Raw genomic sequence first — 24,368 nt, forward strand, 5'->3', positions numbered from 1 at the left:
TGAATGATCGGCTGTCCCCAGTGTCTTCTCTACCCACTTATCCTTGTCTCATGACATCTGCTGCCCTCTAAGGCAGGGCTGAGGGAGTCTGTCCCCCACACCCAGGAAGCAGCAGGGACTCTGAGGGACTAATTCTCTCTGGACATGGCTTCTGAGTGGTCTTCAGAGAAGCCTAGAGAAGTAACCTCGCTCACTGGCATCCTGAGGGGAGCCCCATTCAGGCTGGGCAACGCTATAGGATCACACTGCATACAACAAACGCCATTATTTATTTTGATGTGTTTCCAAAAATCAAAACGTTTTCAAACACAACTAAGATATAAAATACAGCATAAAATGAGATTTAGATCTGTTTCCCACATAAAGCAAAAAAATCTTAGAAATTGTTTTGCCAGAATCAATTGGTAGATCCCACTTATCCTCCCCTCCCTGCAAAGGCATCTTCCCGAATCAGGCCCTAGCCCACCCAGGGCCAGGAGAAACAGGAACACCCACTAGGACGGAGGCGCTGCTGGTGCAGAACTGGTGCTGACTGCTCACGTGGCCTCCTTTGGTCCACCCTACTTTCCACCAATCAGCCAACCAACCTTGACCACAGAGAAACCGTGACTTGGCCAAGGTCATTTGATGGGGGCTGTCATACGGCACTAACAGGGAGCGAGGTGTGGACCAAGAGACAGCCCTGGTGAGGTTGAAACACTGAGACAAGCCAGTCTTCATGCAGTGAGCACTTGAATGATCACAGGAGAAGAGAACCCATGTCCTGAAGCCATTGCTCGATCTTACCAATATTCGGGGGTAAGGAAGTAGGCTACCAGGGGAATATTTGCAAACGCGTTGGGACTAGTTCGGCTGTGTTAAAAAGGTAGGTGACTTCCAAAAGCACTTATGAGCAGAAACCTGCCTCACCCCTGCCCTGCAGAGCCAATGGATGAGAGGCCAAGAGGGAGGCAGGCTCGGGGCTGGGCCGCAGCAGCCCTGGAGACAGGCTGAGCCAGCCTGTCCCCAGATAGGTCTAGGGGCCAGAGAGGTGTTCGACTACCCTTGTGGCATTTACTATGGTGCAGACGACAGGGAGCAACAAGCAGTTAAGCTCCCCCAAAAAGAGAAACACAGTATAAGGCAGTGTTAGAAAACTTTAAATACAGGATTAAGATCAAATCGGTAAGGCATCACAAATTGTAAAAAGGAATTTTGGCTGCATTCGGCATAGCAAACGGACAATCTGAGTGAGCGACAGCCTCAGGAAAGTGGTGTGTCGGGGCTGTCCACAGGGCGAGTGCAGCTGGGAAAGGGCGGTGCTGCTCAGCCAGGGCGGCCTGCGCTTTCGAGACCTTGCTCAGAAAAGGCCCCATGTGAGGTAACTGGGTTGAGTCCGTGGGTCTCCAGTGCTGGGAGCTCCTGCCACACCCCCTGCCCACAGCGGCTGCGGCTCTGCAAGCTGGTCTGAGCAGCTGGCCAGGCTGGCTTGCAGGGTGCTGCTGCTGGGGCTACCCCTGTGTGGTCTCACTAGCCCTTCCCACTGCCAGCTTGGAGGCCAGCAGCACCCAGACCAGCAGCTTCCCCAAGGACTTCTTGCCCCTCCACCTTGCCTCAAGCTACTAAAACTCCCAGGGTGTTACCCAATAAAACACTTGGCACCAATCCAAGCTGATTTTCTGACCGATGACTTTTATCATAAACAGCAGCTTCTACCACCCCTTTAATACTGCATCATTCTTTGGGTGTCCCTAAATGTTTTCACTATTCCTATAAAATACAATGCGGGGCAGAAACAACATCAAAGCCACTGGTGTGATTTTAAACCAGGGAGATTAACTGTTTTGAGGTTTGGCTGAACCACCCAAAATAATTTAGTAGTTTCCGCTAAAAATGTAAACTTACAAATAAGAGGGAGACTGCTTTGAATGATAATACCAATGCGTCTGCTCACAGTACAGCTTGAAGGCCCCCTCCTGTACCCCCACAAAAAAACTCAAAAATAGGACTGAGATGCCACAGCCAAGCGGGCTGTTCACTCCAAAGCCTCGGCGTGGGGGAGGCTTCCAGCTGCCAGGCTGGCCTGCACTGAAGGGTCAGACGCCAGACTGTGGCTCCAGAGCAGACTGAGCCATCGATTCTCAGGTGTCTCTGCAAATAAAGTTCTCAAAACATCTGTGCCTTTACCAAGGGAGGGGAAGGGAAGAGGATACATAAAAGCTGGCAGTTTTGTTGAATCCACCCCGAACCAGTCCTTGACGGCCACGGGTCTTAGCCAGGCAGGTAGGGATCTGTGACTGTTACCACTCCTTCTTCTTCTCATCCATGGAGACACCCCCAGGGCCCAGGGCCACCACCAGGAGCAAGCCCCCAATCACCGACATGGTCTGGAAGAAGTCGTATTTCAGGAAGTCATGCATGGGCTTGTAGACTGGAATGGTCCAGAAGGCGTTGAAATATACGTTGATGGCAAAGAGCCACACAACAAGAGTCAAAGCAGCCAGCTTGGTTTTAAAACCAATGGCCACTAAAATCATCAGAGCTGTGCCCACGATGTTCTGGACAATCTGCATAGGTTGAAACGTAAGAAATTCAAAATAAATGTGAGGAAAAGAGATGCTTTATAAACAAAAGTTCCAGCTGCTGCACGTCATGAAGTCTCTATCCATCAGGCTGATGTAGCTACTGCTGAGACGGCTGCTGGTGCAAGTAGGGAGATAAAAGCCAAAGGGAGGCAGGAGGCAATAAAGCACCAGCTTTGAAATGTGGAAGGTTTGGGGAAGACTGAAGTTCCCAACTAGTAACAGGCTGTGATTTACCAAGATGAATCTCTAATCCATAACTAAATTCCCAAGTGCTTCTTGGCCCACCCAGCCATCCAGGCCAGAAACATCCTCTCTCCTCTCTCCATGGCGCCAGGAGCTCTTCCTGGACACTACCCGGCCAGGGCTCTCAGTCAGCTCCGGAGGTGTGCTCTGGAAGCTCCTGGAGGCCTGCCCCTGACACCTGACACACAGGAATTACTTGAGAAAGATACGAACAGTGAGGAAAGAAAGAAGAGTAAGGGGAGCCCGGGTGGAGAGCCTTGGCCAACCAAGGGCCAAGCACACTCCACCAAGGTCAGAGGTTCTGGCCTTCATTTGCTGGAAAGAAGGCTTGACACACAAGAGATTGACGATGTTTTGGTCTGTTTTAATGGGATCAAAAAGTTTGCTCCGCCGAGCACGGTGGCTCACGCCTGTAATCCCAGCAATTTGGGAGGCTGAGACAGGCAGATCACGAGGGGTCAGGAGATCGAGACCATCCTGGCTAACACGGTGAAACCCTGTCTCTACTAAAAATACAAAAAATTAGCCAGGCGTGTTGGCAGGCGCCTGTAGTCCCAGCTGCTCGGGAGGCTGAGGCAGGAGAATGGCGTGAACCCGGGAGGCGGAACTTGCGGTGAGCCGAGATCACGCACTGCACTCCAGCCTGGGGGACAGAGCGAGACTCCGTCTCAAAAAAAAAAAAAAAAAAGTTTGCTCCATTTCAGCAGCTCCCCCAGGCTGTGGTTAATACCCAACCAGGGAGGGGTGAGCAGGGAGGGGGTGGGGGAGGGACAGCATTCACAGGAAACCAGACCGGTTCAGGCAAGTAGGAATACTTACAGAAAAGAAGCTGGCGTCAAAGTGAAGGAGGGTCATGAACATCAGAACCAGCAAGACCCTGCCTCCGAGCTGCATGTACTGTTTGGGGGAGCTCTCACGCATGGTGGGGACGCCCGCAAACATGCTCTTCCCTTCAGAACGGGATTCTGCTAGGAGCAGCAACAGGCCTCCTCCCAGGGCCAGGTTCCTGAGGAACAGATATGTGGGCTGGAAGCTAAGCCTCACCAGGATCTGGCCTGTCTGTGAGACCAGGTGCAGGGAGACCTTGCTGCCAGTATAAGAAGGCCCTTACTTCCCTTTCTCCAAACCCAGTGATCTGCCAAGCAGGACCAGGCAGGCATGCGCACAGGACCTCAGACTCGAGTTACACCCATGTAAAACCTTACATAGCTCAGGAGACAGAGGTATCTTTACAACTCGACAGTGACAGGCTACCTGAACACACACACAACCGAGTCCTAGTCACAGCTTCAGTGTTGACCAGCTGGGTCCCCGTGGTCAGGTCTGTCCTCCACTCAGACCCGGAGTCCCCACACCCGTGAAATAAGGGTCAGAAGAGACGGCTTCAGTCTCTACTATTCTAGGGGCTCTGCAACATCCTCTTCAGAACCTGTTTCTAAGAGGCACAATTTAGACAGGGGGGTCCAATCTTTTGGCTTCCCTGGGCTACCCTGGAAGAACTGTCTTGGCCACACATAAAATACACTAATGCTAATGATAGGTGATGAGCTAAAAAATAAAACTTAAAAATCACAAAAAAAACTCTCAATGTTTTAAGAAAGTTTTTGAGTTTGTGTTGGGCCATGTTCACCCCGTGGACCACAGGCTGGACAAGCTTGGTTTAGACCCAGAGAAGTCTACTCAAACCAATAGTTAACTGAGTTTAGAAATACAGATTGAGTATCCCTAACCTGAAATGCTTAGGACCCAAAGTGTTTCAGATTTTGGTATATTTGCATTATATACTTATTGGCTGAGCATCCCAAATCTGAAAATCCAAAACCTGAAATGCTCCAATGAGCACTTCCTTTGAGCGTCATGTTGGTGCCCAAGATTTTTCCCATTTTGGAGCATTTCAGACTTTGGATTTGCAATGCTCAACCTGTAGAAGGAGCGTATACTAAAACCAACCAGAATGCACATACCTCATCAAAAACTTCAAGTCCCATAAAATGCTGTAGGCAATCGTCTGAGGGGAAAGAAGAGAGAGATACTTGAGTCTCAGCCTTTCCAAAGGCATTTCCACAGACTTCATAATACATTAGGCCGTCTCTCCAATGTCAGCTGGAGTCTAAAACACACAAAACCATTGTAGGAGACCGAGGACAGATCTAAGCTCAAAAATGTGGTTCTGTATTTCTCAAGAAATGTGCTATGATGTTCCAGAGAACAAAGTGATTCTGAGACCACTGATGTGGATTCAGATATTCTGTTCCCAGCATTTCATTCTGAATAACCAAGTATTCTTCTTTATGAAGCAACGTGATAACAAGACAGCATCCTGGCTGCAGCCAAGCTCGAGACTTCCCTTGTCACGGTAATCATAGAAATGGGACAAAAGATGGCCCAGTACCGAATGACCTGCCTCTACAGCCCTGCTTGGGCTCACGACTTCCCCAGAAGAGAAAGGAGCTCCAGGCAGTCAGAGACATGCAGGGGGCTGAAGGGGGAGTGACACTGAACCCTCAAGGATGTCTTTTCAGAAGCTCTGCTCCACCAGAGCAAAGAGAAGGGAGCCCCGACCACGCGGCCCGTGTACCTGCAGAGCTATGATTCCAAAGAGCCCGAAGCAGGCGTACTGCACGAAGTTCCTGCTCAACACCAGGACGCAGCCAGCTGGAGAGAAGGACAAGGGTTAGGGGGCCTGAGGGTGGGTGCCGGCGGGGAGCACTGTCTTGATACACTGCTACCTCACCTGGCCCTTAGGTCCAGAGGCAGCCAAACCACCTACCCAAGCAAAAGACAACTTCTGGAAGAATTAATGATAGGCAAGGACCACACATGGTAAGCTGACTAGACTTATCACAAACACCAGAAAGTGGAGCCCTTGCCGTCATAAAGAATGGGCTGTTTCCCACAATCAGCTCCCAAGTCAGCCACCCACCTGAGGTAGGCAATTAACTGCTCTACTGTGGACTGCCAGCCAGACTCCAGCATCTCCTGCTTTGGGTCCCTGACAGGGACCATGTCCTATTTCCTTAGCAAGCTCTAAAGCAGTGAGCTCAGGGCTAGAGACTAAGCGTCCCCACCAAGGCTTGCAGAACCGGACTCCTGGCCTGGCACAGCTGAGCTGGAGAAGAGGGGAATGGAGGGGGGACAGCAGTCCAGGAGACCCCCGAGTTCACACACAGCCTCCCAACTGCTAACGATCATGGAACAAGACGCCCAGTGAATCCTGACCACCCGCAGAGCCACTCACTCAGCTGTCCCAGCAAGTTGAGGAAGACGAAGGACGAGGCCAGCAGGTAGCCGCAGTTCCAGGTGGTGTCGATGTAGTCGCGCTGCTCGCTCCACTGGAACCACATACGGATGCCGTCCTCCAGGAAGGTGCTGATCAGACAGAGGCGCGCCACGTGGGGCAGGTACTGCTTTGTGACACGGAGGAACTGCAGGGCCACAGAAACCCAAGGGTGAGGTGGCTGCGGCGGGGAGCACCAGGCCGCTGCCAGGCACGTCCTTGGGCGGGGTGTGTGAGGAACAGACGCTGTGGAAGGCAAGAGCTCTTGTCAGCCCCGGTGCCTTCCCAGGGCAGACTAGGGGGCTCTCAGTGCTTGCTCCTGAGCGCTACCCTGTGAGTCTGGACACATGCAACAATCCAAGGATCAGTCCCGGAGATGCATGACTTGACGTTAGGCCCTCTGGGGCAGATCCTATAGGGCAGCAGCCCTAACACTCTGCTACCGTGATTTCCCCCAGTGCCTCGGCAGGCAACTACAGTCTTCCAAGGTGGCACTGCCACAAGACACAGAGCTGCTCTTTTCGGTCAAAGGCATTTACAAGTTGGAATCACAGAATGACATCTGAAAAGGCACTTAGAGGTCATCTATCCAACGTTTCTGCACCTCAGCACTACTGGCATCTGAGGCCAGGCCACTCTTTGCCGTGGGTCATCCTGGGTGCTGCAGGCTATGACGCACGACATGTCTGCCCACGACATGCCAGCAGCAGCCTCCCTCCTGAGGCACCGCTGCACTTTGCCAGGCATCTCCGCTGCTCTGGTCCAACCCCTCACCTTACAAATGGCTATATTAAACCCAGCGGGAAGGGGTTCCCCTAGGCTTCGCAGACCTGATGGTGCAATGCCAAGACTTGACCCCAGCCTGCAGGTCACACATGGCTGAGGTGCCAAGGGCCTGGACCTCCCAGCCTGCCCAGTGACGCCCAGAGTACCCTGACAGAACAAGGGTTGGCTTAGGTGACAGCCAGGGTGCCACACCTAGAGGGCCACATGGTTGACTGAATAGTAAGATCACGTTTACAGTTATCCGAAAATCTCCAGAGCAGCAGGAGGAGGCCCCAGGCTCTGGACAGCGCATGTGTGCTGTTGCAAACCAGGGCTGGCGCTTCCCAGCCCGACGGAGCTCTCCCCTGCAAGCTCAGGATCTGACGTGGGGACTGTGTGTGCAGCAACCGTCAGCGCAGCATGAAGCTGGTACCGCTAATGGCTAGAAAGCGCTGGGATTTTGTCAAAGCCTGCATAATCTCGAGCAAATTAAAACACACTAACAAATGGGATGGACAGCTGTTTCAACAGCAATGAAACGCAAGTGTGTGAAATCACTGTCAAATGTCAAAGGGAAAGAAAACATTTATGACTTCCTGCTGTGCTGTGAGTCAGGTCATTTATGACGGCTGGGTTAGGTAGCCAACATGCACTATCGGATGCCAGGTACAAATGTCACGCAGGTTCACCCCATGCACTTTTCTCTTATCACCCATGCAAAACTGAGATATAAAGTGAAAGAAATACTGTAACACAGCAAGTCCTTCGGAGAAAGATCAGGGGACCCATCCACCAACGCATGTTGGGAAGCCAGAGTCTAAAGAGCACCCGAGAGGCTGACCCCCACGGGAGGCGAGCGAACGTCAGCTGCACAGGCCTCCTAGGGCTGACTAAACCTACTGTTGGAACAAAGGAAGATATGCGTGTTTCTTATTTTTCAGCATTTTTAAAAGTTGCTTCAAAGTCCTAGACACTGCTGAAGCTGCCCATCTCAGTTACCACGCCCCTGGGTGTTCAGGTCACCCTCCAGCCTGTCAGGTGGGGCCCTGACTAGGTCAGCACTGCAGATTGGCTCCCATGTGGCAGAGAACGGAGGCAGAGATTACAAAGCCAGGTGGCCATTCTCCCCAAACCCACTGCGCCCTGCAGTGTCAGTTCTGCACACATTTACTCAGCCTTTGACTCCACGGAAGTGATGGGAGAAATCACAGTGACCGACAGATACCCAGAGAATCACCAAGTGGGTTTGGGAGATGAAGTGCAGGTGGAGGTTCTGAGGCCCTGTGATCTCATCCTGCCCTGGTACCATCCAGCCAGCACACCGTGTGACCTGGACACGCCCAGTTACTTTTTTGAGAGTGTCTCTACTATCCTGCAGTAGAGTGAGGCCACCTGAACTAATGGTTGGTAAGATGCTTTCCAACTTTACTAGGAGGAAGACCTTGTTTCACTTTTTATTTTTAAAAAGGCCCCAAATACTCCCCTGTGAATTTTAGGGCCAATGCAGAGAACCAGCACAAGATGCCCATGTGCACAGTGTGACGCAACCTGCATCACACTGGGTGGTGGGAAAGGTGACGCCACACACCCTCCCCAGGTTCTGCCTCATGGCCCCGTTGCTCTCTAAATGCCCAGCAACAGTGTAATCACCCATATTCCATGGAAGAGAGAAAGCACACCACCGTGGCACACGATGTGCCACTGCTCTCAAGGAATGGCCTCACATCGTGGCCCAGCTGGGAAGCCCCAGCAAGGACACAAGCCTTTATCTCATCTGAACCTGGGGAAAAGCAACCACTGGGAAGGAAGAGCTCAACAGGAGGCTGTCCAGACCTCTGAGATGAGACGGAGCCGTGGTGGGACTCCCAGGGCAGGGTGTGGGTGTGGGGCGTGGACCCCAACAGCAGCAGAGAGGTAGACTGCAATCCATACCCAAGACAGACACCAGAGGTGTTCTGACTTGCTTCTAAAATGAGAGCTGTGAGCCACTCACTGGCCTGAGATGAGCAAACCAGCCCAGCCATGGGCTGCGGTCTAAGCCTCCCCCAGTTGCAGGACCTGCATTTAACATGCTCATCTACGTGCACAGCCCACGAGATTGAGGCAGTGTTTAAAAGTCTCTTTGAATGAGTCTGCGACTCTTAATTTGAGTGTCTGGGTCAAGAGGATTAAAGAGCAAAAAAGAGAGAGAAGGTGGGACAGGCAATTCACACCTCCTTCCCTGCGCAAACATGGTGACGAAACAGACACAGCTCTTGGCTTTGGGGAAAAATATGCAAAAATCTAGGTACTGCCTTCTGAACTGAGCACACCTACTGCTTGGCTGTCCTGGTTTTCAAAGGCAAGCCTGGTCCACACTGAAGGCTGAAGTCAGGCTGATGCAGTCTCCTCTAAACTGGCCACCATTTAATGAGCATCTGTTTGGACTGAACACTGAAAAAGCCACGTTTAAAGACAAGGCCCAACATTAACCTTATTTCCTACATGCATGTTGGTCACAACTACTTCAACTTGGCCACTGGAACCATGTCATGCCACTCTAGAACACGTCCCAGAGCCAGTGTCCCCTCAGCACAGCAGAGAAGAGCCCTCAACACAGGCAGGACACACAGCACCCCAGGACAGACAAGAGCAGCCGCACTGCAGGCACTAAGGCCATTGCTGGTAGCCAGCACACAGGTGACCTGTGTAAACACGGCGAGCACATAAAACTTGTGACAGTCCCCCTCCCCCCCATTAGAGAACTGCGACAGCAGAGCCAGAGGTGGCTGTTGACCTGGCAGGCTGCAGGAAGAAGATGACAGTTAGCTCACCTCTGTGGCCAAGCTTCTCATTAAGTCTCTCCGAGAACCGCGCCATCAAGCAGGATATGGTTCATAAGCAGTGACAGCATCTGAGGGGCTTAACAGGAAGACTGATATTTCTCTCAAAGGGGTGGTTATTTTAGACGACTGAAGGGGATTTTAGAAACGTAATTAATTATATCCACCCTGAGATGACTTCCTGGGCATCCAGTGATCACTGTCACAGCCACCTGCAGCTCCCACGCCACACAGAAAACTCCACTTTCTCTTCACACTCAGGACAGAAAGAAATTGAGGAAAGCAGCTTGCAAATTCGTGGTGAATGTGAACATCGACGAAAAAGGCAGGTCAGATTTCCTTGATCACCAAGGACTGGGGCTGCCTTGTTCAAAGCCCAACTCAGGTCCCACACATCCTAGAAACAAGCACCTGCGGCCCAGCGGCTTCCCTCACATCAGCCTGTCAGAGCTGGCTCGAGCTCACTGGCTCACTGCAGCTCCAGAACTTCCCCGAGCCCCGCTCCCATGCTGCTCTATAGGTTCACACTGCACCCTGCAGGGCCAGAAAGGATGTCGCCAGCCCAATGTGGGAGATGATGGCCTGGCTTTACTAAAAAACTGTGTGATCAAAATCCCAACTATAGGAAAGACGTAACTGAGAACGACTGGGCCCCATGTTCTGGGAGGAGCCCCGCTAACCACAACCTCCTCTGCTCCTCGCCCGCACTCCCCTGAAGAGTGAGTTTTAACCTCCCGTTAAGATCATCACACAAAGAAAAGTGAGTCAGCTCCTCTTTGCCTTCTCTCCCCACTCCTTCATGATATAGGGCAGGGTATGACAGAGCCTGCCACTGTCACCAGGACTTTGCCACACCAGTCACCAGCATGGTGTTCATCGGGACCCTCACAGTGCCTGTGCCACCTGCAAGTTCAGGGGTCCTCAGGCCTATCCTTGCTTCCCCAGCACTTCAACTAGGGCCGAGGCCAGCTCCTAGGGCCCAGGACTAGCTCTGCCACTCTTGAGGACAGGTTAAAAACACCAAAGGTCACACTGGAGAGGAAGGCCCCATGCAGCTTTTCTGTCACCTTGGTGATGAGCCACCAGGCAGAACCCATTAAGTGCTAATATTGCTGTTTATGGGTATAAACTGCTTAGAAGCTACATTTTACAGAGTGTCTAATAGGCAATGAGGAGCAGCTGCAGGCATGGACATTAGTTTGGATTGCTGAGTTCATTAGTTTCTGGACCCTTCCCATGGCTTCCAAATGCCAAGCTCCTGCATAGAGCACGTCTCAGCAGTTTCTACAGAGCATGGCTCCTGGGAGCAAGAGGACACTGTCCCTGGCTGCCAGAGCAAGCAGCTTGATGCCAGAGGCAGAGAGACAAGAGATGCAACTGTGGGGAGCCTGCCAGCAGAAACTAACCAGACTGCTCGTCCCCGTGGACCAGCCTCTGCAGGCCAGAAGGAAAGATCAGTCAACCAAGCAGTGAGGAACCCAGCCTTTGGGGTAACAGGATGCGGACTCAGTCTCCAGGCCACCACAAGCCAGTGCGGCCAGCCAACCTCCCTCTGCCCATCTGAAGATGGTGACGCTCTGGCCAACCTCCTACAGTCAAGAAGTTCACAAAAGGAATGTCTATCATGGACCCGGCCCAGTGAAAGACTTAATGTCATTGTCATAATACTGGAAGACACTGGGCCTGGGAAACTAAGCTTACTTAGGTCTTGCTTTCAGCAGCCCACACTTTCTGGTCAAATCTTGTCACTTCAGTTTTGCTCTTGTTTTCTGAAGATGTGAAAAAATGGATGTGTCACTTTATCTGATCAGTGACTTCCATGGTAATCCTCTATCGGCTTCAAATTAGGTCATTTTCATGTAAAAGCCTGGTCTGGCAGCTTTAAGTACTATGTGAATAAAGAGAAACAAAGCCCCACCTGGGCTTGGTCAGATTCTGTCCACAAGAAGCCATATTTTGACTTCGAACCCTGTTTACTTGCCTGCATCTGTCTGATTGGGGTTTGGGCGAGTACAAGTAGCTGCCCTCCCAAGCTGCCCACAAAAGGGCATGGAAGCTCCCACAGCCATGCTCTGCCACCACCTAGACGGACTCTTAAGGAGATCATCTGACGGCGGCAGCCTGCGCTGCCTTACAGATATGGTGCCTTACAGATATGGTCCTAACCCACTTGGGTTTTGTATGTGAGCAGCCCCTTCACCCGCTAGTGCTCTTCCCTTGACTTGTGCCAGAAGAGCAACACCAGGGGCTGGGGGCGCTGGGGACCAAGACCCGGCTTTTCTTGGTCTTGGTCACAGGCAAGTCTAGGAGCCTGAGCAGGTTTGGCCTCCCCTCAGTAACCTGGGAGAGGTCGACTCTGTGCCCCCTCAAGAGCCTTTCCAGTTCCAAGCTACTGCTTCTTTCATTTAAAACATAACAGAATACATGATGAAGGCTGGGCGCGGTGGCTCAGGCATGTAATCCCAGAACTTTAGGAGGCCAAGGCGGATCACCTAAGGTCAGGTGTTTGAGACCAGCCTGGACAACATGACAACATGGCAAAATGCTGTCTCTACTAAAAACACAAAAATTAGCGGGGCGTGGTGGCGTGGGCCTGTCATCTCAGCTACTGAGGAGGCTGAGGCAGGAGAATAGCTTGAACCCGGGAGGCGGAGGTTGCAGTGAGATGAGATTGCGCCACTGCACTCCAGCCTGGGTGACAAAGTAAGACTCTGTCTCCAAAAAAAACATAATAACAAAACATGAAGAAAAGGCAGGGCAGGGTGGCTCACGCCTGTAATCCCAGCACTTTGGGAGGCTAAGGCAGGCGGACCACCTGAGGTCGGGAGTTCGAAACCAGCCTGGCCAACATGGGGAAACCCCGTCTCAACTAAAAATACAAAAAAATTAGCTGGGCGTGGTGGCAGGCGCCTGTAATCCCAGCTACTTCGGGCTGAGGCAGGAGAATTGCTTGAATCCGGGAGGCGGGGGTTGCAGTGAGCCGAGATCGCACCATTACACTCCAGCCTGAGCGAAATTCTGTCTCAAAAAAAAAAAAAAAAAAAAAAAAAAGAAGAAGAAAACAGTATGTGAAGACACTGGGAACTTTTTTTTGTCAATAGGGGAGTCTGTCATTTGCTAGTGGGCAGCAGCTTGACTGGAGACATTTGATCTAGATTTGGTTATGAAATTCACTTGCAAATCCAGGTTTTCCAGGACAAAGAGCGAGTGTATGTAGCTCTCATCCTTCCCTCAGCTATGAGGAGCCATCTTCTTAGGGAGCTGCGACTTGGAGAAATATAAATGGGTCACTATAAATTATGTCAATGAAAACTGACAAACCTAAAAGGTCTACCTGGTTCTTGAGAGCTTTTGATATGAATTGTTTTTAAAATTGTGTCTTTAAAGGCTGGGTGCCGTGGCTCACGCCTGTAATCCCAGCACTTTGGGAGGCTGAGGTGGGCAGACCACCTGAGGTCGGGAGTTCGAGACCAGCCTGACCAACATGGAGAAACCCTGTTTCTACTAAAAAAAAAAAAAATACAAAATTGGCTGGGTGTGACGGTGCATGCCTGTAATCCCAGCTACTCGGGAGGCTGAGGCAGGAGAATCGCTTGAACCCAGGAGTTGGAGGTTGTGGTGTGCTGAGATCACACCATTGCACTCCAGCCTGGGCAACAAGGTCAAAACACCATCTCAAAGAAAAAATAAATAAATAAAAATAAATAAACAAATAAAATTGTGTCTTTAAGCACAAAATCAGAATCTTAGGGAAAAAATGCTTCGTCAAGTTGATTACTTTTTCCCTCCAAATTTAAAATATTGGCTCACAGAAAGTGTTGCAATGAGAACCGATGGTGAGGTCACACTAGAAAGAGATCACCCCCCAGGAGGAACGGAAGAGTTCAATAGCTGATCAGAAAACGGTCACTTACTCTTTTCTTTTTTTTTTAAACCACACATATACAAGCCTTCCGATAAGTCTAGGCCTCAGAGTTTGATGACTCACTACCACCTCCAGAAAAATTTAAAAATTTAACCATCACTACTTAAAACTCTAGCAAAGCCACACGAACACATTAAGTAAACCGAGGAAAAAACGGCAAGTGGGCCACACAAGGCTCTCCCTGCGGGGATAAGGCTGTTAATTTGTCGACATAACGGGATTCTTTTAGAAGTAAAAGGCATAAATCTGCGTAACCACCACCACCTTTTGTTTTTGTTTTTTTGTTCTGTCAAGCTTAATCAAGAAAGAGGGAAGGGAGTTGTGTCCCTTCACTTTGTAGGATCGGATCCTGTCCACCCAGTTCCCGAATGCTCTCAACAGTTACCCAACCGCCTGTTTCAAAGGCTTCCCTGTTGCTCAGAATGCCACCTGGACACTTCTGGAAGGAGACTATCAGGGAGATAGGCTTCCCCTCCTCCCAGGCTGTGTACAGGTCCCCACTCAATCCAGCCCAGGGCAGAGTCCAAACGGGGAGGGAGACGCAGACAGGGTCAAAGGGACCCCAAGAGTCCAGCACATCTGGGAAAGAGAAAAGGAAAAGGTGCTGTGGCTTCCTGTAGCTGGGGCGCACGCCAGCGCGCCCCCTTTCCTCTGGGAGGACCCCCGGCCCCCGTTCGTCCCCGAGCTCCCAGCCCGCCTCCGGGAGCCCCAGTGAGAGGAAAAACGTGCGGGGACCCCCCAGCAGCTCCAAACGCCGAGGCGCTCCCCGCGAGCCTCAGACCCGACCCAACGCCAGGACTCGCGCCGCCGGCCCGGGAAGAAACCCCCACAGCCCGCGCCCCGGGCTGGCTGGAGGGTGGGGGCGGCTAGCCAGGCAGGGCGCCGAGGCCCGGGCTCCGGGAGCGGCCCAGCGGGCAGGGGAGACTGGGCCCGGAGGCCGGGTTTGGGGCTGTCCAGCCGGGACAGAGGGCCCGGGCGGGGGGGTCCCCCTGTGGGAACAAGGAGTCAGGGGGCGGCCCGGGCCTGGCGCCCTGCGCTGGGAGGCCGACTCCGGAGCGGCCCGGGCGGCCTGGGTCGGGACCGGGGCCGGGGGAGGAGCCCGCAGGCCGCACCTGGTCGGCGAAGTCCTCGGCCGTGCCCATCAGGTCGTTCTGGCCCATGGCGACGGCGGGAGGCTCGGCTCGGCTCGCTCGCTCGCTCGCTGGCTCTCGCCCGTCGGCGCCCGCACCCGCTGCGGCCTCCACAGGAAGTGCCCGGCGGCCGGCCTCGCTCCGCGTCGGCTGCGGCTCCAGCGGCTGCCACGTAGGCCAAGCCTTAAAGGGGCCGCGCGCCGCCCGGGCCCGCCCCGGTGCGTCTTAAAGGGGCCACGCGCCATCCCCAGCCTCCCGACCCATCCGCTCGAAGCCACGCCCGCCGCGCTCGACGCCACGCCTCTCACGCTGGAGGCCCCGCCCGCCGCGCGCAGGCCCTGCGGTCCCTCCCGGCCCGGCGGAACGCGTCCCTTTTAAGGGGGCGGGGACCTGGGGGTCTGGGGCCAGCGCGCGGGAGGGACGCCTGAGTGCCTCGAGGGCGCCGTTCGGGCGGGGAGGATCCCGCGGGTCCCACTGACCCACGCGGGGTGGGGCCAGGGGTGGACGCTCGCCCGTACGCGGTCGCTACTGATCATGCTTGGGCCAGGGTCCAATCGCAGGCGCCCCACGCAGGGGGAGCGAGGCCCAGGGTCCCCCGGAGAGCCCATGGAGAAGTACCAGGTGCCGAGTGTTCCCTGCGGGGAGGCGGGAGCTCCGTGGGGTAACGGTCGCAACCCTGGAGCTACGGCCGGCGGTTCCGACCGAGGGCGGCGAGGGGCCCGCGCCCTGGCCAGTGTCGGCCTGCAGCTCCTAGGTTGAACCCGGGGGGCCTCCAACGGTGACCTCCTGGGTGCCCTTTGCCACTCAGTTTCCCCCTTTGTGAATTGACTAAGGATTCTCCAGCCCTGGCTGAGTATTTGAGGGCGTGGGGCAGCTCCTCTATCCTTCGTGCCTGGGGTCTGTGCGCTTGGGTCCACCGAGGCAGGACCCCCGGGAACATCCCGAGTACATAATTGGGAGCCCCCAGTCCCCTAAAAACACCCCTGCAGCGTGGGTCTGTGAAAATGTTTGAGACCTAAAAAATTCACAAAACACAAAAGGAAAGCTGCAAAATAAAAGTAAATGTTTAATTAAATGCTTCTATACATGATATATACACTTTATTAAATGTTAGATTCAGCATTTGTGAAAAATGCATTCGCTTGGAAACAGTTTGCGGGTTAGATTTTTGTCACTTTGGAAGAATTGTCTTTGTGTGAGAGGACTATAGGGCGTTGCCAGAGGTGAAGCAGATGAGCTTCTGGTGGCCAGATAATTTTTAAAGTAAAGTTGTTTTTCAGATTAAAAAAAAATAGACGTTTCAGGAATATACCTGCTTTTGGAAAAAAAAATAGACTTGATTCGAGATACGGCTCCATTTTACTGTTTAATTTGCTGCCTAAGCTTGAACGCTCTCACACCAGCTCTGCCCTCAGCCCGCTGTGGCTTAGAACAGCAGTCCCTGGCCGGGCTCGGTGGCTCACGCCTGTAATCCCCAACACTTTGGGAGGCCAAGGCGGGCGGATCACCTGAGATCGGGAGTTCAAGACCAGCCTGACCAACATGGAGAAACTGTCTCTACTAAAAATACAAAATTAGCCAGGTGTGGTGGCGCATGCCTGTAATCACAGCTACTCGGGAGGCTGAGGCTGGAGAATCGCTTGAACCCAGGAGGCAGAGGTTGTGGTGAGCCAAGATAGCGCCATTGGACTCCAGCCTGGGCAACAAGAGCAAAACTCTGTCTCAGAAAGAAAAAAAAAAATAGCAGTCCCCAACCTTTTTGGCACAAGGGACCAGTTTTGTGGAAGACAATTTTTCCACAGATGGAGGCGGGAGGATGGTTTTGGGATGATTCAAGCACATTACACTTAGTGTGCAGTTCATTTCTATTATTATGTTGTAATACATAATGAAATAATTACACAACTCACCATAATGTAGAATCAGTGGGAGCCCTGAGCTTGTTTTCTTGCAACTAGACCATCCTCTCGGGATGATGGGAGACAGTGACGGATCATCAGGCATTTGTTTCTCATAAGGAGCATGCAACCTGGATCCCTCACATGCACTGTTCACAATAGGGTTCACACTCCCATGAGAATCTAATGCTGCTGCTGAGCTGACAGGAGGTGGAGCTTGGGTGGTAATGCGAGCCATGGGGAGCGGCTGTAAATACAGATGAAGCTTTGCTCCACTGCCTGCTGCTCACCTCCTGCTGTGCAGCCTGGTTCCTAACAGGCCACGGACTAGGTTGGGGACCCCTGGCTTAGAATATCCAGTGTCATGAGCAGGCTGCTCACAAGGCTGGATTACAGACTCCTAAGACTTTTATGGGCTCCGAGAGTCCCTAGGCTCAGGCTTCCATCCTCATATCTCCTCCTCTGGGTCCTGCCCTCCCTCCCCCAATCCTCTGATGAATGTCAGCCTCCAGCAATCCCCGGCCCAGCCCCCTGCCCCATAGCACTTGGTCTCTGCACAGAGTTCTGGCTTGGTGGCCATCTCTCCAGATTTGGCTCAAATCACAGGCTCTAAGATCAGACCCCCAGAGTTACCCCAGGCAGTGTCCTGCTTTCTAGTGACATAGCCTCAGGCAAGGACCTAGCTCCTTGTGCCTCAGTTTTCCCCAATGTAAACACAGAGGTAGCAATGGTGTCAACTGCAAAGGGTGGCTGTGAAGTGCTTGGCACCATGCCAGGCACACAATGGCTTCCTGATTGTACCAGTCACAAGATTGGTTACTTTCTTGTTGGAAACCAGTTGGGAGGTGGATGCTGGAAGTTGAGGTCACAGAGGTCTATAGAGAGTGAATAAGCCCTTTTTCTCTGGGAGGTTCTTGCACTTGAGTGCCCAGCTGGTCCTCATTGCAGGTTGGGGGAGGGATACAGGGTTGTAGAAGAGCTCCAGAATCGGCCCCAAATAGGTGAGATCAGAGTTCTGCCATTGAAAGGCTTCTTGCCCTCCTTGGGCCATTTCCTCTATTGCAAGATGGGGTGGAGCCACTTGCTCTGCCAGCCTGACAGGGGAGTTAGCAGGGCCAGAAAAGGAGTTGGAGCTGGGCTTTTGGAAAGGGAAAAGTTGTGTGCATTTCCTGAAAGCTTCTCTCTTCCTTGCTGATAGGTTTTGTACCAGCTGAATCCTGGGGCCTTGGGGGTGAACCTGGTGGTGGAGGAAATGGAAACCAAAGTCAAGCATGTGATAAAGCAGGTAAGAGGCCAAGCCTGTGCATCCCATGCCGGGTGGTTCTGTGACTGTGATTTTCCCCAATACAAGCTCTTCCCATGTTGGAGAAGCTTCCTGATGCGGCAGCTGGATTCCTCGCTGCTGACACTTGCGGAGACTAATCTGGTTGGGGTAGATGTGGGGGTGCGTGAAGCTCTGTCACCTTGATGGGGAAGCAATGCTAATTTTTACTCCAACACCACCACCTCCCACCATTTACGCATCACGTGCTGTATGCCAGGCACTGACTCACTTCATCTCCCGTCAACCCTGTAAAGCAGAAACAATGACCCTGTTTATAGCCAAAGACAGTGAGGCTCAATGCAGCGCCAGACTAGGCAAGGTCACACAATTTCCAAGAGGATTTGAATTCAGGCCACCTCACTGGGGGACACCGTGCTACCCAGTGCTGGGTCACCAGTTTTACCAAAAGGGAGCCAGGCCCAGAGAGGATGGGGACTGGCTCAAGGTCACACAGGGCTAAGGTCACACACCAGGCCCTGAGCCCTTCCACCACACTCCTCACCAGGGCTAGCAGGGCATGGGGAGGTGTAGGCCTGCAGGAAGACAGCCCTTTGTGTGTCCGAGACAGGGAGGTCCAGATCAACAGAGGGACTAGGGTGAGAAAGCTGCTGCAAGAGTCCCTGGCATGCCCTCCTCTCTGTGGTGGTGGCAGGGACCCAGCAGGTTCAGGGCTGGCCATACAGCGGGAGGAGCCTTGTCAGCAGCTGCTACTGGGCCAGGCCTCAGTCCGTACAGCTCCGCAGTCTCACCCTGTATGGCTGGGCCTGGAGTCCTTGCCCCTGCCCTGCTCCCTTGCTGGCTGGCTGTGGGGTTGGCCCCCTTGTCTCACAAGCCACTGGGGCAGTGTGGCTGACTGCCCTCTGAGCAGTTAAGGAGCTTTTTTTTTTGTTTGGAGATGGAGTCTTGCTCTGTCGCCAAGGCTAGAGTGCAGTGGTGTGATCTCAGCTCACTGCAACCTCTGCCTCCTGGGTTCAAGCAATTTTCCTGCCTCAGCCTCCCAAGTAGCTGGGACTACAGGCACACGCTGCCACGCCCGGCTAATTTTTTGTATTTTAGTAGAGACAGGGTTTCACCGTGTTGCCCAGGCTGGTCTCGAACTCCTGGAACTCCTGAGCTCAGGCAGTCCGCCCGCCTCGGCCTCCCAAAGTGCTGGGATTACAGGCATGAGCCACCGCGTCCGGCCTGAGGAGCTTTTAAAAATGTCAGCCATGACTAGGCATGGTGGCTCATCCCTGTAATCGCAGCATTTTGGGAGGCCGAGGCAGGCAGATCCCTTGAGGTCAGAAGTTTGAGAGCAGCCTGGCCAACATGGTGAAACCCCATCTCTACTAAAAATACAAAAATTAGCTGAGCATGGTGGTGGGTGCCTATAGTCCCAGCTACTTGGGAGCTGACGCGGGAGAATTGCTTGAACCCGGGCGGCGGAGGTTGCAGTGAGTCGAGATTGCGCCACTGCACTCCAGCCTGGGTGACACAGCGAGACTCTGTCTAAATTAATTAATTAATTAATTAAATTAAAAATAAAAATATCACCCAATTATTTCTAAATAAAAATTGGGGAAAGAGAGTGTAGGTAGGAGTTTATGGGTTCTTCCAGTCTTTTTTCCTAAGCGTTTGTAAACTTTTTTGGATTCAGGAGAATGGTATCGTTAAAGTTGATAGCATCCTTTTTATATTGCAAACATAGTTTCATGTCATTCCCACAGCCTCCTCCTCTCTTGGCTCTGGCAACTGTGTGGCCTCCCGTCTTGCTTGATGTGCTGTAACTAACCCAAGCCATCCCTATCACATGGGCTGAGCATTGAGCTTGTTCTCAATTTTTCACTTTGTGTAAACAGCTCTGATAAAGATGCTTATGGCATTATGGTTTTGTTTGTTTTTTTGTTTTGTTTTGTTTTGTTTTGTTTAGCATCCATGATTTCCTTAGGAAAAATTCCTAGGAGTGAGATTTCTGGGTCATACGATGTAACTTTTTTTTTTTTTTTTTTTTTTTTGAGATGGAGTTTTGCTCTTGTTGCCCAGGCTGGAGTACAGTGGTGTGATCTCAGCTCACTGTAACCTCTGCCTCCCGGATTCAAGCGATTTTCCTGCCTCAGCCTTCCTGAGTGGCTGGGATTACAGGCACGTGCCACCACATCCAGCTAATTTTGTATTTTTAGTAGACGGGGTTTCTCCATCAACATGGAGAGGATGGTCAGGCTGGTCTCGAACTCCCGACCTCAGATGATCCGCCTGCCTCGGCCTCCCAAAGTGCTGGGATTACAGGCGTGAGCCACCCCACCCAGCCGCTTTTTTTTTTTTTTTTTGAGACGGAGTCTCACTCTTGTTGCCCAGGCTGGAGTACAATGGCGTGATCTCGGCACACTGCAACCCCCTTCTCCCAGGTTCAAGTGATTCTCCTGCCTCAGCCTCCGAAGTAGCTGGGATTACAGGCATGTGCCACCACGCCCGGCTAATTTTGTATTTTTAGTAGAGACAGGGTTTCTCCATATTGGTCAGGCTGGTCTCGAACTCCCAACCTCAGGTGATCCGCCTGCCTCGGCCTCCCTAAGTGCTGGGATTTCAGGCGTGAGCCACTGTGCCCGGCCACAATGTAACATTTTCAAGTCTTTCCATGTTTTGGCCAACTTCACCTCCTCATATGCCCCCTAGGACAGGAGGAAAGGAAGACAGGAAGGCTCACTCAGTGTCTTTGCCCTGGATTCCACGGGACAGTGCCACTGGCATCTCAGGTCTCTCCATAGATCTGGGAACAATTCACTAACTTTACATGATGGTCTGCATTCACCCCATTATAAGAGTACTTCATTCATAAGTCTTTTGAGCAAAATTCTGGGTGAGGATCTGGTATTAGAGCCAGTGGTAGTATATACCTAGGGCCTGTGCCACCAAGCGTGCTGCAGACTCAAAGCTCCGTGCTGCCCTTGCCACCACCCTTCCCTTTCCATGCCCTCCCCACCTCCACCCGGAGAGGGCACAGGAGAGAAGAGCACTGTACATTCCATGCGTGGAGACAACCTTCCCCATGTGGGTAAGGAATGAAGTGGTGAGATTGATGCTTTCCCAACCAGAACAAGATGTTCCTGTTTAAAGACGGTCTGAAAATGGATCCTTTACTGAGTTCTTGGAGCGTATATTATGCTGTCCTAAACTTATCTTTGCAAAAGGAGCAAAGATGTTCTCATTGCTCTAAGTATTTTTAGATCTCTGCCTTAGGAATATCTTCCATTTGTGCCATATGGTGGGGGCAGGAATGGTGGGAGCCTGTCACTCCTGCTAAATAGTGATGATGGTGGTGATGATGGAGGTGGCAATGATGGTGGTAGTGGTGGTGATGGTGGTGGCAGTGATGATGGTGATGATGATGGTGATGATAATGGTGATGGTGGTGATGGTGTGATGATGGTGATGGTGGTCATGGTGATGGTGTGATGATGGTGATGGTGGTCATGGTGATTATGGTCGTGGTGATGATGTGATGATGGTGGTGGTGGTGTGATGGTGATGATAGTAATGGTGATGGTGGTGATGGTGATGATAATAGTGGGGATGGTGACAGTGGTGTTGATGGTGTGATGGTGGTAATGATGATGGTAATGATGGTGATGATGGTGGTGATGATGGTAATGATGGTGATGATAGTGACGATGGTGACAGTGGCATTGATGGTTTGATGGTGGTGATGGTGTGATGATGGTGGTGGTGTGATGGTGATGGTGGTAATGATGGTGATGATGTTGGTGATGGTGGTGATGATGGGGATAATAGTGGTGGTGGTGACAGTGGTGTTGATGGTGTGATGGTGGTGATGGTGTGATGATGATGGTGGTCGTGGTGTGATGGTGATGGTGGTAATGATGGTGATGAGGTTGGTGATGATGGGGATAATAGTGGTGATGGTGACGGTGGTGTTGATGGTGTGATGGTGGTAATGATAGTGGTGGTGGTGGTGATGGTGTGATGATGGTTAAGGTGGTGATGGTAATGATTTTGATGATGGTGATGATTGTGTGATGATGGTGATGATGGTGTGATGGTGATTTTGGTAATGATGGTGGTGATGGTGATGATAGTGATGATGGTGATGGTGGTGGTGTTGGAGTGATGGTGGTAATGGTGGTGGTGTGATGATGTGATGGTGGTAATGGTGGTGGTGTGATGATGGTGGTGATGGTGATGGTGATGATGGTAATGATGGTGATGGCAGTGATGATGGTAATGATGGTAATGATGGTGATGATATATGATGATGATGGTAATGATGGTGATGATAGTGGTGATGGTGGTGGTGATGGAGTGATGGTGGTAATGGTGGTGGTGTGATGGTGATGATGGTGGTGATGGTGATGATGGTGATGATGGCAGTGATGGTGATGGTGGTGATGAAGGTGGTAATGATGATGTTAATGATGGTGATGATAGTGTTGATGGTGGTGGTGATGGAGTGATGGTGGTAATGGTAGTGGTGGTGGTGTGATGATGGTGATGATGGCAGTGATGGTGATGATGGTGATGGTGATGATGGTGACAGTGATGGTGGTGTTGGTTGTGGTTGTGGTAATGATGGTGATGGTTGTGGTGGAGGTGGTGGCTGTGCAGATGATGGTAATGGTCGTTGTGGTGGTGGTGATGGCGGTGATAACGGAGATGATTTGCTACATGTTTATTAAGCTCATGCTCTTGTGCCCTTGCAGGTGGAATGCATGGATGACCATTACGCCAGTCAGGCCCTGGAGGAGGTAACTCTCAGGGTAGTTTTCCCTCTGGAAGAGCTCAATGGAGCATACACAGACTGTGTTCTGTACCTTCTTGTTGAGTGCCTGGATGAAGAGAAGGCTGGAGGGAGGGATAGAGCATCAGCACCAGTTTTGCCTCAGCTGTGAAGCCAGCAGCCCCAGGTCATGAAGGGAGTCCATGCCCCAAACACTCACTGCTAAATGCAGGTGCCGACAACTTAGAACATATGTTCCCAGAGAACATAAAATTTAAATATTGGGCTGGGCACGGTGGCTCACATTTGTAATCCCACCACTTTGGGAGGCCGAGGCGGGTGGATCACTTGAGGTCAGGAGTTCAAGACCAGCCTAGCCAACATGGGGAAACCCTGTCTCAACCAAAAATACAAAAAAATTAGCTGGGCATGGTGGTGGGCACCTGTAATCCCAGCTACTTCGAGAGGTTGAGGCGGGAGAATCACTTGAACCTGGGAGGCGGAGATTGCAATGAGCCGAGATTGCACCATTGCATTCCACCCTGGGTGACAGAGCAAAACTTTGTCTCAAAAATAAATAAATATTGGCCGGGTCCCTAGGTTAATCTACCAATAACTTCTTTAAATATTTTTTCTTCAATATAAAATTATTAATTACAGCAGAAAATTTTAAAAATACAGAATTGGGTTTTCTTTTGTTTTTACCTTTTTTTTTTTTTCTTTAATAGCAATGGGGTCTCACCATTTTGCCCAGGCTAGTCTGAATTTCTGGGCTCAAGCAATCGTCCCACCTCGGCCTCCAAAGTGCTGGGGTACAGGCATGTACCACCACACCCATACCAGAACTGTTTAACAAAACAAATATAAATTACCCTTAATTCTACCATTGAGAGCTGCCCAGCAGTAACATACTCGTTTACAATAATAGCGATAACAGCTGCACTTCGGTTTGATTGGCAAAGCCTCCGAGTAGCCTTTCTTTGTGTTTCTTGAATTTCCCACGAGCTTGAAGGTGTCCCCTCTTATCTCATGGTCACTTGTTTGTCTTCTGGAATTGCTGGCTCTGGAGCTTGGCCAGCAAACATTATTGGGTGTATAGTGTGACCGAAGCACAGTGGTGGGCCCAGGCTACTCGGTAACAAATGGGAAGAAAGAGCATGGGGCCTGCCCAGAGCCGCACGCCGCCGTGGCTTTTCACGTTGCCGATTCCCATCCACAGCCCACTAGGTAGGCCACCTGCTTTCATGCCCAACCTTCCACCCCAAGCAGTTGTCTGTCTGGCTCCATGTCTCTAAGGCAGCCCTATCTGCTCCTGTTTGGGCATGTTTCAAAGCACTTTCCGCCAGGGCAGGGGCACCGGGACCTCTCCGTGTGCCCACCTCCCGGTGTCTGCACCACCTCCTCCAGCCAGCCCTGGCTGTGGCTGATCCCCACCTTCCTGGCACTGCCTGCCACAGCTCACTCACCCCCCATGGTATCCCTGTGAGGCAGATTCCACTAGGACCCCCATTTTCAGATGACTATATGAGGCCCAGTCACCCAGCACAGCCAGCTCATGCTGGAGACAGGACCCACATCGGACTGCCTGGCTCCCAACCACCGTGCAGCTTCCCTGAGCCCACTCCCTGGCCCAGCTCAGAGCCCGAGGCTTGCATGTTTGTTGGGATGTGTGACAGAGAAGCCCGAGCTGAGAAAGGCGTGGAGAGGCA

General features: G+C 52.0%; 2 protein-coding genes across 18 annotated transcripts in view, besides 4 other annotated features; one reads left to right on the forward strand and one right to left on the reverse strand.

Annotated features, from left to right (window-relative positions):
* SURF4 (surfeit 4) lies at positions 251-16,736 on the reverse strand. Of its 16 annotated transcripts, XM_011518944.3 has the most exons (9): positions 14,007-14,347; positions 11,373-11,440; positions 9,839-9,927; positions 9,663-9,750; positions 6,046-6,232; positions 5,386-5,462; positions 4,772-4,815; positions 3,627-3,813; positions 251-2,546 (listed from the first exon to the last, which is right to left on the reverse strand). In XM_011518944.3, exons 4-9 carry the CDS (start codon positions 9,681-9,683, stop codon positions 2,280-2,282), a joined length of 783 nt encoding a protein of 260 aa, XP_011517246.1. In that variant the 5' UTR covers positions 9,684-9,750; positions 9,839-9,927; positions 11,373-11,440; positions 14,007-14,347; the 3' UTR covers positions 251-2,279. The 16 variants fall into 16 exon arrangements, with proteins under 16 accessions (XP_011517246.1, XP_047279763.1, NP_001267719.1 ...); XM_047423807.1 differs by lacking the exon at positions 9,839-9,927 and having other exon boundaries at positions 13,586-14,335; NM_001280790.2 differs by lacking the exons at positions 9,663-9,750; positions 9,839-9,927; positions 11,373-11,440 and adding an exon at positions 14,709-14,847 and having other exon boundaries at positions 14,026-14,175.
* Positions 6,475-7,146: an enhancer, noted in NCBI's record as "H3K4me1 hESC enhancer chr9:136234564-136235235 (GRCh37/hg19 assembly coordinates)". NCBI's record gives its function as "activates a minimal SCP1, AML or CMV promoter by ChIP-STARR-seq in naive H9 embryonic stem cells {active_cell/tissue: H9 hESC(naive)}" and the evidence as "EXISTENCE:reporter gene assay evidence [ECO:0000049][PMID:30033119]".
* Positions 14,272-14,551: a silencer, noted in NCBI's record as "silent region_20454". NCBI's record gives its function as "represses an Ori minimal core promoter by ATAC-STARR-seq in GM12878 lymphoblastoid cells {active_cell/tissue: GM12878}" and the evidence as "EXISTENCE:reporter gene assay evidence [ECO:0000049][PMID:35858748]".
* Positions 14,562-14,801: a silencer, noted in NCBI's record as "silent region_20455". NCBI's record gives its function as "represses an Ori minimal core promoter by ATAC-STARR-seq in GM12878 lymphoblastoid cells {active_cell/tissue: GM12878}" and the evidence as "EXISTENCE:reporter gene assay evidence [ECO:0000049][PMID:35858748]".
* Positions 14,892-15,391: a silencer, noted in NCBI's record as "silent region_20456". NCBI's record gives its function as "represses an Ori minimal core promoter by ATAC-STARR-seq in GM12878 lymphoblastoid cells {active_cell/tissue: GM12878}" and the evidence as "EXISTENCE:reporter gene assay evidence [ECO:0000049][PMID:35858748]".
* The window catches only part of STKLD1 (serine/threonine kinase like domain containing 1), a 29,731-nt gene continuing 20,515 nt past the window's right edge, over positions 15,153-24,368 (forward strand). For both annotated transcript variants that reach the window (NR_103997.2, NM_153710.5), the window contains exons 1-3: positions 15,153-15,347; positions 17,823-17,909; positions 22,643-22,687. Coding sequence is in view for 1 of the 2 variants with exons in the window: in NM_153710.5 (NP_714921.4) it covers positions 15,261-15,347; positions 17,823-17,909; positions 22,643-22,687 (219 nt within the window). In the remaining variant the exon portion in view is untranslated. The remainder of the gene's footprint in view (positions 15,348-17,822; positions 17,910-22,642; positions 22,688-24,368) is intronic.

Source organism: Homo sapiens, chromosome 9 (genome assembly GCF_000001405.40).
Source record: "Homo sapiens chromosome 9, GRCh38.p14 Primary Assembly".
Lineage (NCBI taxonomy): Eukaryota > Metazoa > Chordata > Mammalia > Primates > Hominidae > Homo > Homo sapiens.

Bases quoted from the DNA above. Each gene is read 5' to 3' on its own strand.
- SURF4 (XM_047423805.1), bottom strand. From the start codon at position 9,708: ATGGCGCGGTTCTCGGAGAGACTTAATGAGAAGCTTGGCCACAGAG. The intron at 5,463-6,045 runs GTGAGTGGCTCT...CCTTCTCTCCAG, and splicing joins CAACTTGCTGGGACAGCTGA to CTGGCTGCGTCCTGGTGTTG. The intron at 4,816-5,385 runs GTACACGGGCCG...CTTTCCCCTCAG, and splicing joins TTGGAATCATAGCTCTGCAG to ACGATTGCCTACAGCATTTT.